At 45.6% G+C, this 12346-nt stretch overlaps 1 long non-coding RNA gene across 4 annotated transcripts in view, besides 1 other annotated feature; it reads left to right on the top strand.

Annotated features, from left to right (window-relative positions):
- LOC105374894 (uncharacterized) overlaps positions 1–12346 on the top strand; it is a 154998-nt gene that overhangs the window by 68672 nt on the left and 73980 nt on the right. The window lies entirely within an intron of this gene.
- Positions 10898–11583: an enhancer, noted in NCBI's record as "OCT4-NANOG hESC enhancer chr6:4503825-4504510 (GRCh37/hg19 assembly coordinates)". NCBI's record gives its function as "activates a minimal SCP1, AML or CMV promoter by ChIP-STARR-seq in primed H9 embryonic stem cells {active_cell/tissue: H9 hESC(primed)}" and the evidence as "EXISTENCE:reporter gene assay evidence [ECO:0000049][PMID:30033119]".

The following is a 12346-nucleotide window of genomic DNA, read 5'->3' as shown; positions in this document are numbered from 1 at the left end:
AAATTTAAATATTGATTGCAAATTGAATTCATATGGGCACGAATCTAGTCTTATAAGATACTCTTGGTTGTTTCAAATGAGTTAAGAAAGAGCTAAAACACATAAGCAGCATTTCAAAGATTGCCAAGCTATTTTAATTGTACCTGATTTTAAAAAGGGCACCAATGTGCTAACAGCGGTTTAGGTTTGTGACTCCGTTGTCTGTATTTTCATTCCTCTATTGTATTCTTGTCATTATCTTTACCATTATTGTTTCTCTGCTCACCAAACCTAACCAGGGCTGCTAACAATTCAGTGCTATTGTGTGAATGAGAAACAGCAGTACTTCCTCAAGTAAGAAAAAAAAAGAACCGTATTATTTATTTCCTGTTCATAATAATGACAACAGTCATTCTAAATGAATTATACAAATCAAATTCCTGAACATAAAATGACAGTTCAAGTTTTAAATCATGATAATTAGAAAACTTTTGAGCTAAATGCTTTGTTATAAAATAGTTATGTGTACTGCCGTCCTGAAAACCACTTTCTGAGGGACATTTTTAATATTTACTAGTTCCGGTGTTTTGTTTTCTGCAGAAGTAGTTGCCATATTTGTCTTTCTTATGACACTGTAGACCTTAAGTACTTTTAAAATAAATTTTAATGTTGAGTAGTATTGATGACAGGTATTGGCAAAATTAAATAGAACCTGATAGTTACAACATCTTATAAATGTATCCAGGTGACTATTGCTGGAAATAAATTTCAGCACTTCAAAAGGAGTAATACTAAAGGATTTTGGTTCTGACGCTACATCAAAGTTCTACCATTGTCTTATTCCTCACCATAGTCATCAGTCAATTTTAATGGCAGAATTCGGTGTCATCGTTGCATTCATTTTCATTGTCATTTTTCAAATTATGCATGTCATTTAACATACTGAAAAAGCCGTAGTATTCTTTTGGTTTTACAAGCTTGTTTTTTTCCTTAGGTATGATATTTTATTTCTAATATAAAATAAACTGATTTTTAATCCTTTGACTTTGAAATTTCAAACATAAAAAGCAGTTAGAGGAGTAATACAATGACCATCAAAATCTTTTCACCCGGATTCACCAATTGTTGGTGTCTTGCCGAATGCGCTCCCTGTCACTTTTTTTTTTGCTGTTGGGACATTTGTAAGTTGCAGATGCCACGAGGCTCCCTGCACATATTTCTGCCTGTGTATCAACATTCTTCTACGCGTCCTCAGTGCCCTTGTCACACCTAACAAACTCGCTATTTCAATATAATCTAACCTGCAGTCCATATTCAAAATTTCCCAGTTGACTAATTATTCTCTATGGCTCACCCCTCCATTTCAGTCACATTTCATTCATAGCGCTTGGTTGTGATGTTTCTTCCATTTCCTTTGATCTAGAACATTTCCCTTGCCTTTGTTGTTGCTATTCCTGACCCTGACTTTTTTGACAAGGCAGGCCAGTTGTTTTGCAGAATGTGCCACAATCTAGATTTATCTGATGGTTTCCTCATGATTAGATCCAGGTAAAGCATTTGGCAAGAATATGGCAAGAATCCCTCTGAGGCAATGCTGCACATTCCTGCTGTCACACCAGGAGGCTCACAAGGGCGGTTTCTGTTTTCTTGGTGGTGCTCAATTTGATCAAAAAATGAGTTTGGAAGGCCTGTTTGAATCATAGATAGGCGGATTATGAGATTTTCCATGGAAATGAGTCTGCTTTCCCTTTCTAGGATTTTCGACATTGGAGAAGTCAAATGCATCCATGTCAAGAGACTTTGAGATTCATCGAGTGTCTTCGTAAATGGAAGTAGAGGAGTAGTCATGGGGTATCCAGGGAAAGAGCATTCCTGGCAGGGGGACGCAAGTACTTAGGTCCTGAGATAGGATTATGGTTGGTATGCCAGGAAGGCAGCAGGGAGGCCAGGGCTGAAGATTCACCAGAGAGGAGGGACTGGGCAGATCCTGATGGCCTCGAAAGCCTTTGTGAGAACCTTGCTTCCCGGCTAAGCATGGTGAGAAGCCATGGAGAGGGTCTGAGCAGGAGAGTGATGTGATTTGGCTTCCATTTTTTTTTCTTGTCACTTAGAATTTCTTTACTTATTGAAAGTGATCCTTCACACCAGCCAGAATGGATTTTTGTCATACATTGATTGCTCTTGTGCATACATAAAAAGGAAAATATTAAGTGAAAGCAATTGCTTAAGGTCTTTCTAAGGCAATGAAACCACATCACAACCGTCACCTGGCGGACTGTGACCTAAGGACCATCCTGACCAGGAATGTTAAAATGTGAAAAGATAACGTTGGTCCCCTCCTGTGTACCTGCACCTTGCTTCAGAAATGCAATTCCCAGTACTATCAAAGCCCCTGGTGTGACTCCTTCCTTCCACGCTGCGGACATGCATGCTCCTGACTTCTGTGTTCATCATGGCCTTGTGTTTGAGCTGTGTGGGCCGTTTTCTTTTCTTTTCTTTCTTTTTTTTTTTTTTTTTGAGACGGAGTCTCACTCTGTCGTCAAGGCTGGAGTACAGTGGCGCAATCTCAGCTCGCTACAACTTCTGCCTTCCAGGTTCAAGCAATTCTCCTGCCTCAGCCTTCTGAGTAGCTGGGGTTACAGGTGCCCGCCATCGCCCGCCATCGCCCGCCACCGCCCGCCACCGCGCGTGTGGGCCGTTTTCTTCTGCGCCTGGCCTTTTGACTGAGCAGTGCCTGCGGTCTCCTGGCTCCTGCAGTCTCCTCAGCAGTCTCCTGGCTCCTGTGTGTTGCTGCTGTGCGCCTTCCCTTTGCACCAAGTCCCCTTGTGTGCACATCCCACACTTCATCTGTTCTCCTGTTCAGGGACATTTGGCTGCTTCCAGGATTTGCTGCTGCAAACTTCTTTGCTATGAACGTTCTCCCACACATGAGTGTTTCTCCAGTGCCCAGACCTCTGGAATCACTAAGTCCACACGACAGACTTTCCAACGCTGTTTGCCAACAAAATCAGATGCTTCCCTCCTCCCGCCCCTGAACATCCCAGGAGGGAAAACCTGAATCCTGTTCTGCTGTCTATGGCTTGTCTGTCTGTGCTCAGTGGCTCTGGGGTAGGGGGAGAAAAAGAGGGAGAAGAGGAGATGGCGGTGGCAGGGGATGCTTCCCAGGCTGTAGCCTTGGGGAGCCCAAGCTGAGATCAGCCCAGACAAGGCTGCCCCTCATGCTGCCTCTGCAGAGCATGGGTGTGAGGGTGGTCCCCTGACTGGAGACCAGGGAACAGGGCTGCAGCACAGTGACATCATGGAATCCACTGAGCGACCACTGTTGCACTGTGAGACATGGAATCCTGGGTTGAGCCTGTGGCGGGAGAGCTGGACCGGCTTCCCCGGCACCTGTCCAGGAACTGCAGCTTCCTGCTGTGGCTCCAGCTTAATGGGGTTCCAAGGTTACAGCTGCCCTGGTCTCCAACATCCCTGTAGCAGAAACCCTAGCCCCTAACCACCCTCCACTCTCTCCAGGAAGGCTCCACAGTGTTGTTCTCCACGGCCTACCCCTTTGGTGGGACCACTGATTGCTTTGAGGAGGGCTGGCTTTGAAGTCCCTCAGGAAGAGCTGACCCCTCTGAGTCTGTCACTTGTAGAGCTGGACTGGCCATGTCAGCTCCCCTCGATTTGGAAGACGTCCCAGACTCTTCAGCTGTTGGTGGTTTGGTGAAGAGAGGAACCGAGTCTGCACCTGTGGGCTGCTCCAGGCTTCTTCTCGGCATCTCTCTCCCCAGGAACAGCTGGCCAAGGAGCAGCTGGGGGGTGGTTTTAGGGTGACTGCGCTCTCCTTCCTGGAAGCTCCGCCCTCCTCTCCTTCCTTCTGGGTGTGGCCCTCTCCGGCTTCCACCTCCTTTGCTCCTGTCGCCTTCACTGAGCAAGGATGAGCCAAGGCTCCAGGTTCTTGGCTTCCCCACCTTCAGCTGCCCCCAAATAGACCTGCTGGTCCTCTCTCCTCCCGTGATGGCCATGCTGGCGCTGCCCTCTCTCTGAAGACCTGCCGGCCGCCCCTCCCACACAGTCCCTGAGTTGCCTCTTCTGGGTGGCAGTTCCTGTTCTTGCTGCATTTGCCTGGCCTGGGCCTGCAGCCTTGGGTGCTGTGTACCCACCGCACCTGCAGTGCCCACAGCCCCTGCTGTGGCCCCTTTGGCAAGCCCTGCAAACTTGGTGGCTGCAGAGGCTCCTGTGCTTGGGGTGGATACGGTGGACATTCCATCAGCAGAGTATGTGTGTGGGGCGCAGGCTGGATTCTCCCTTCCCTGTACCCAGCAGATGCCATCAGAAGAGGTGGCCTCAGACACCTCACGGACCATGCAGAGTGTCCTCGTGCTGATTGGATCCCATGCCTTTCTCTGGAGCTCTGTGGCTGCTGACCTCTTCCTGCCTTCTGCAATCCAGCTGTGCCCACTGCGTCCCCGGCTGGGTGCTTCGGATACTGCTGCACTGACGCTCAGGGTCTCAGGAGATAAAGTGAGGCTTTCCTAGTATGAAAGAGGTCTTCCTAGGTGCCTGGAAAGGGATGTGGCCAGTGGCAAGCTTCAAGTGTAGCTGCTGTTTCTCTCAGCCATGGACAGAGCCTGACAGACTTCAAGGGGAGGAGCCTCCTGCCACTCTGGGCCTCATGCTGCATGCAGCTCACGGCCTGTGGCTGACCAGGCCAGCAGTGAGTGCCAGCAGTGGAACACTGGGGCTGGTCATGCAATGCCCGCAGTCGCTATTGAATCACAGTGCGCTCATCAGCCCCTTCTCCTCTTTTACTGATCTGGAGGAAGTCAGACATTGGTATGTATATTCATAAACATACTGAAGTCTCCCCAGCTTCGTGCCACTGCAGGTCCCTGTGGAGGCGCTGAGCATGCCTGTTGCACAGGCACTGGGGGCTGTGGGATGCAGCAGCATCCATCCACTGCTCATGTTATCTGTTTTTCTTTTCTTTTCTTTTCTTTTTTGAGACGGAGTCTCGCTCTTGTTGCCCAGGCTGGAGTGCAGTGGTGCCATCTTGGCTCACTGCAACCTCCCACTCCCAAGTTAAAGCGATTCTCCTGCCTCAGCCTCCTGAGTAGCTGGGATTACAGGCACCCGCATCATGCCTGGCTAATTTTTGTACTTTTAGTAGAGACAGGGTTTCACCATGTTGGCCAAGCTGGTCTCAAACTCCTAACCTCGGGTGATCCGCCCGCCTTGGCCTTCCAAAGTGCTGGGATTATAGGTGTGAGCCACTGTGCCTGGCCTCTGTTTTTCTTTTTTAAAGATAGCTCTGCCTCTGGAACTTGATCCACTCAAAGGGCTCCCCAGACCATGGTCTCAGCAAGGGGAAACACTGCAGCTGCCTGTCTTTCTTGGGCCTTCTCGTTGGCCTCAACATCCCCTCCTGCTGGGCCACATGTATCCTCTACTGCCCTCTGTGATTGCTCACTATTACATGTGCATTTGTCCTTATCTTCTGTAGCTAGTTGGCCCCTCAGGACAGGGTGACTGTCCTCACCCCCTAAATTTGCCATCATCTCCAAAGAAGGCAGGCTGACCCTACTGGGGGAACAGGGGGGAACGCTATTTACATTTTAATAGTGTTGCTCCAGCTGCTTGTCTTAATCCGTTTTGTGCTGCTGTAACAGAATAGCACAGACTTAGTAATTTATAATGAACAGAAATTTATTGAGTCATGGTTCCATAGGCTAGGAAGTCCAAGATCGGGGACCTACATCTGGCAAAGACCTTTTTGCTGCAACATCCCATGGCAGAAGGGCTAAGAGAGAGTGAGAGAGAGAGAGAGCAAGAGAGAGCCAAATTAGTCTTTTTATAAGAAACCCAGTCTCACAATAATGAACCCACTCTTGTGGTAACAGCATTAATCCATTTACCAGGGCATAGCTCTCATGGTTTCATCAATGGCTACTTTGGGATTAAGTTTACAGCACATATTTTTGGGGGACACATGCAAACCATAGCACTGCTGTGTGGGAAATTGAGTCTAGGAAGCAAGGTGGAAGACATATTACCTAGGAAGCTACTGTACCAGTCCAGGCAAGAGACAATGGCAGCTTGGCAAAGGGAATGCAGTGGAGGGTGACTGTGGTTAGGTTGCTAGTATTTTGAATGAGACCAAAGTGGATTTGCTGTGGACTGTGTAGGGGCAGGGTACAAAGTCAAAGATGACTCCAGGGTTTTGGCCTCAGTCTTTGGGTGAATCATGGTGCTGTTTACTGAGACATGGTGAACTGGTGAGGGTACAGGTTTGAGAAGAGAGGGACTAAAGAGCTCAGCTTCGAGCAACTTTAGTTTGAGATGCCTACTAGACATTTAAGATGAGATTTACTCAGGCTCAGCCCAGGCCATCTGGAGCTCAGGGGAGAAAGTGACGTGGGGATATAAATTTAGGGTCTAGAGTGTGTAAATGGTATTTGAACCCACGGGAAGGAATAAAACCCATGTCTTATGTCCAATCCCTTACTGTTTCCAGTAAGAAATAGGAAATGAGTGCCATGAAGGAAAAAGACCAGTTGGGTGACTGTAGACACGGAAGAGACCTGAGGATGATCCCAGGCATGAAATGTTGAGAGGGGGTAAGGTGATACTGGAAATTGCCCATCAGATTTGGCAATGTGAAGGTCTTTATGACTTGATGAGACTAATGTTAGCCTGGTTGACTGAGCTAGTGTATGTGGAGGGGTGGGGACGAGGGTGAGAATGTGGAATACTTCATTATATAACATTCTGAACGAGTTTTGCTGTAAATAGAAGCTCAGAAATGGATTGGTAGTTGGAGAGAAAAGGGGGATGGAGAGATTTTAAAATACTTTTGTAAATTTAATTTAACTTTATTTTAAACACCTTTACTGAGGTATATTTTACAGACCACAAAATCTAGCTACTTTAAGTATGCAATTCAATGATTTTTTATAAATGTACTGGTTTATGGTGCAAACATCACCACAAGTCAGTTTTAGAATATTTCCATCACCCCAACACAGTCCTTTCTGCCCACTTGGAGTTAATCCAGTTCCCACCTCCAAACCTAGGCAAATGCTAATATACTTCTTGCCTCTATAGATTCAACTCCCATGAGAAGGTCTTATAAATGAAATCATACAATATATTGTCTTCTGTGTCAGGTCTCTTTTGCTTAACATGGGATTCATTCATGTTGTGGCAAGTATCAGTATCTTGTTCTTTTTTATTGCTGAATAGTTGACATAATTTGGCTGTGTGTCCCCCCACCCAAATCTTATCGCCATGTAATCCCAATGTGTGGTGGGAGGTGACTGGATCATGAGGGCAGTTTCTGCCATGCTGTTCTCATGGTAGTGAGGGAATTCTCAGGAGGTCTGATGGTGTAAAAGTGGGAGCTTCCCCTGCACACTGTCTCCCTCCTGCTGCCTCGTGACAAAGGTGCTTGCTTCTCCTCCTTTTGCCATGATTGTAAGTTTCCTGAGGCCTCCCCAACCATGTGGAACTGTCAGTCAATTAAACCTCTTTTATTTATAAATTACCCAGTCTCAAGTAGTTTCTTTACAGCTGTGTGAGAATGAACTAATACAGGGAACTGGTACCGGGAGTGGGGCACTGCTATAAAGATACCTGAAAATGTGGAAGTGACTTTGGAACTGGATAACAGACAGAGGCTGGAACAGTTTGGAGGGCTCAGAAGACAGGAAGATGTGCAAATGTTTGGCACTTCCTAGAGACTTGTTGAATGGTTTTGACCAAAATGCTGATAGTGATATGGACAATGAAGTCCAGGCTGAGGTGGTCTCATATAGAGATGAGGAACTTATTGGGAAATGGAGTAAAGGTCACTCATACTATGCTTTAGCAAAGAGACTGGTGGCATTTTGCTCCTGCCCTAGAGATCTGTGGAACTTTGAACTTGAGAGAGATGATGTAGGGTATCTGGCAGAAAAAATTTCTAAGCAGCAAAGCATTCGAGAGGTGACCTGGTTTTTCCTGAAAATGTAGTTATATGCATTCACAAAGAGATGATTTGAAATTGAAACCTTTGTTTAAAAGGGAAGCAGAGCATAAACGTTTGGAGAATTTGCAGCTTGACCATGAAGTAGGAAAAAAAAATATTTTCTGGGGGAGAAATTCCAGCTGGCTGCAGAAATTTTCATAAGTAAAGAGGAGCCAGATGTTAATAGCCAAGACAATGCAGAAAATGCCCCCAGGGCATGTCAGAGATCTTTGAGGCAGTTCCTTCCATCATAGGCCAGGAGGTTAGGAGGGAAAAATGGTTTCCTGGGCCAGGCCCAGGGCCCTGCTGCTTTGTGCAGCCTTGGGACTTGGTACCCCAAGTCCCAGCCACTCTGGCTCCAGCCAGGGCTGAAAGGGGCCAAGGTACAACTTGGGCTGTTGCTTCAGAGGGTGCAAGCCCCAAGCCTTGTTTGGCCTGTGGATGTGCAGAAGACAAGAGTTGAACTTTGGGGGCCTCTGCCTAGATTTCAGAGGATGTGTGGAAATGCCTGGATGTTCAGACAGAAGTCTGATGCAGGGGCAGAGCCCTCATGGAGAACCTCTACTAGGGCAATGTAGGGGGGAAATGTGGGGTTGAAGCTTTCACACAAAGTCCCCACTGGGGCACTCCTGGTGGAACTCTGAGAAGACCACCATCCTCCAAACCCCAGAATGGTAGATCCACTGACAGCTTGCACTGTGCACTTGGAAAAGCCACAGGCACTCAACACCAGCCCATGAAAGCAGCTGCAAGGGCTGTACCCTGCATAGCCTCGGGGATGCAGCTGCCAAGGGCTGTGGGAGCACACCCCTTGCATCAGCATGCTCTGGATGTGATGTGAGACATGAAGTCAAAGGAGATTTTGGAGCTTTAAGACTTAATGATTGCTTGGCTGAGTTTCAGACTTGCATAGGGCCTGTGGCCATTTTGTTTCGCCCCATTTCACCCATTTGGAACAGGAACGTTTACCCAATGCCTGTACCACCATTGTATCTTGGAAGTAACTAACTTGTTTTTTATTTTACAAGCTCATAGGTGGAAGGGACTTTGTCTCAGAAAAGACTTTAGACTGTGGTCTTTTGAGTTAATGCTGGAATGAGTTAAGACTTTGGGGGACTGTTGAGGAGTCATGATTGGTTTTGAAATGTGAAAAGGATATGAGATTTAGGAGGCATCGGGGTGGAATTATATGGTTTGGCTCTGTGTCCCCACCCAAATCTCATCCCTAATTGTAATCCCCACATGTGGAGGGAGGGACCTGGTGGGAGGTGATTGGATCATTGTGGCAGTTTTCCCTATACTGTACTAATCATAGTGAGGGAGTTCTCGTGAGATCTGATAGTTTAAAAGTGGCAGTTTCCCCTGCACACACTCTCCTGCTGCCTTGTGATAAAGGTGCTTGCTTCTCATTTTCCTTCTGCCATGATTAAGTTTCCTGAAGCCTTCCCAGCCATGCAGAACTGTGAGTCAATTAAACCTCTTTTATTTATAAATTACCCAGTCTCAAGTAGTATCTTTATAGCAGTGTGAAAATGGACTAATACAATAGTATTGTAAGGCTATGCCACCTTTTGTTTATTCATTCATCAGTTGATGGGCATCAACTGAAGATTATTTAATATGGGGATTGTATTGCTCTGCTGGGGCTGCCATAAGAAAGTTCCACAGACTGGGTGGCTTAAAAAACAGACATATATTTTTTCTCACAGTTCTGGAGGCTGGAAATCCAAGATCAGGGTGCTAGCATGGTTGTGATTTGGTGAGAACCCTTTTCTGTGTGTATGAGGAGAGAGAGACACACACACACACACACAGAGAGAGAGAGAGAGAGAGAATGCTCTGGCATCTCTTTCTCTTTTTATAAGGACACCAGTCTCACCCTTATTACCTCATTTAACCTTAATTACTTCCTTAAAAGACTTATTTCTAAATACAGTCACACTGATACTTTGGGGATTAGGGCTTTAACATAGGAATTTTGGGGGGACCCAATTCAGTCCATAACAGGGATACTATATCGTATTTGGGTGTTGAATGAGAGTGATCTAGCACCGAGTTTCTCAACCTCAGCATTATTGGCATTTTGGAAAAAATAATTCTTTGTGGTGGGGGCTGTCCGGTGCATCCTGAGGTGTTTAGCAGCTTCCCTGAGCTCTACCCATTGCATCCCAGTAGCACAACTCAGCAGTGACAACCAAAAATGTTCCCACCCATTGTCAAATGTTTCTTTTGGAGTGGGGAGGCAAAATTGCTTTCGGTTGAGAACCACTGATGGAGTAGAAAGGAAATTAATGATGCAAGAGAGAGAAAGAGCAGATAATTGCAAGCACAAAGTCTTTGAATAGACAGCAGGAGATGGAATTCAGTGTAATGACTGGCCCTAGATGGGAGCAGAGAAAGAATTTTGGGGGGACCCAATTCAGTCCATAACAGGGATACTATATCATATTTGGGTGTTGAATGAGAGTGATCTAGCACTGAGTTTCTCAACCTCAGCATTATGGACATTTTGGAAAAAATAATTCTTTGTGGTGGGGGAAAAGAGAAGTGATGGATGTGCTGATGGGAGCATGTGCTTTCTTCTTGTATTTCTTAGTGAAATTAGTCATCTATGGAGGGGACAGCACTGCAAACTGTGTACATGGCTACCAGAGAACAAACCATGTTTTACTGAAGACCTTCCCTGAGAAAAAGCGAATTGTTATTTCTTTGGGAGCTAATACTGACACAGTCCTCCTCCTTTGAATGCATAGCACGTGTGTTTAACCCACTTAGAGTTCAACGCATGTTAGAGTTCTCAGTGTATGTGCCCTGCCAGATTGCAAGTTAATGAAGACAAGAACTAGCTTGTGCATATCTGCATCTCTCACAACAAATAGCTCAGTCTACACTAGGTACTCAGTAAATGTTGAATTGACATGCATTTCCATTGAAATTATAGTATCTTTACTTTCTAACAAATTTGTCTCATAAAACTAGCAACTCTTCTGGGACATATTGGTGGACATAGAAATTGATACCTATTGCTATAATTTGGGAAAAGCTTTCCATTTCCTCCCCCAATAATAATCCTATCAATAATAACATTGGATAACATAAATCAGTACTTCTCAAGCTTCAATCTCCATATGAATAAGCTGGTGGTGCTCTTAAAATGCAGATTCCGACTCAGCAGGTGTGGAGTGAGGCCTGAGATTCTGCATTTCTGAAAAGCTCCCAGATAATGCTGATGCTCATGGTCCTGGACCGCAATTAGCTTAACAAAGTTCACAAAAGATTGGCCTGCATAAGTGGTTGGAAGAGGTTAATCACAGAGCCACCATCGCTGAAGGTGGGAAGGAGCTCTCAGGAAGGCGATGATAGGAGAGACAGCATGCCTCACAAACGCCACAGGACTTCATTAAACTCTGATGAGGACAACAGGAATCAGTCTCTTGCTATGGATTTAGAATTCAAAATGGCCTTGGTAGCTGAGAGATGGGGAGAGAAACCAACAAAAGCAAAGTTCAGAAAACACAAGCAAAGGGCATTGTGTTTGCAGAGAAAAAATCCAACCTTTTAAGTCTGTCATGGGCAATGACAGGGTAGATGCATGTGGAGCTGAAAAACTCTAAAAAATCACGTGGACCCTGGGTTGATCATGAGTTAATAATACAGTGCTCTGGTTTGGAAATCAAGTACAAAAGTAGAATACACAATTAGAAACTGAAGTAATATCCATTATATTCAGTACTGCCCAGAAACTTGCTAGAATTCTGCAACTAGTTTTGAGTTATATGAACCCAGAAAGATGCAGAGAACTCAAAGAAGGTTCAGGTGAGAGCCTCAAGAATTATTAAATGGTTGAGAAATAAGATTTACTGTTTAGAAGAGAAGGCTGCAGTAGTATTTTGTCTACAAAGGGGTGTGTTTCTCAAGGAAGCAGTGAGCAGTTCTTTCATATTTCTTCTGAGGATCTGCTCAGATGAAATGTCTTTACTCCAAATGTGATTTTGGTTGGATATGAAAAAGTCTCTAATACAGAGGGTTTTTCAGTGTTGGAATGTGCTACCAAGGCAAGTTCATGAATATGTTGCCTGCTAGAGGGCTTTTTCTATTTAATGGGAATTGTTAAGTGGAGCCCAACGTGAAAACAGAGAGATGGCATAGCTACAATTATGAGCGCTGTCCCCTGAGGACCAAGGTGATGGATAAATGGATTGGTTGCTTTCCTTCTCAAGGTCCCTGAAGATTCCAGTGCCAGGGGATCACTCAGGGGTGTCATAACTGAGAGCTTCTGAGCATCCTGGACATATCAAGTGAGTCGAGGATGATGGGGCTTGTGTGGTAGACTCCAGGTAGGATTCCAGGTGGTTGACATCTTCACTTTCTGGTCTG

This window comes from Homo sapiens, chromosome 6 (assembly GCF_000001405.40).
Source record: "Homo sapiens chromosome 6, GRCh38.p14 Primary Assembly".
Taxonomy (NCBI): domain Eukaryota; kingdom Metazoa; phylum Chordata; class Mammalia; order Primates; family Hominidae; genus Homo; species Homo sapiens.
This window is presented reverse-complemented; position numbering and strand designations above follow the sequence as displayed.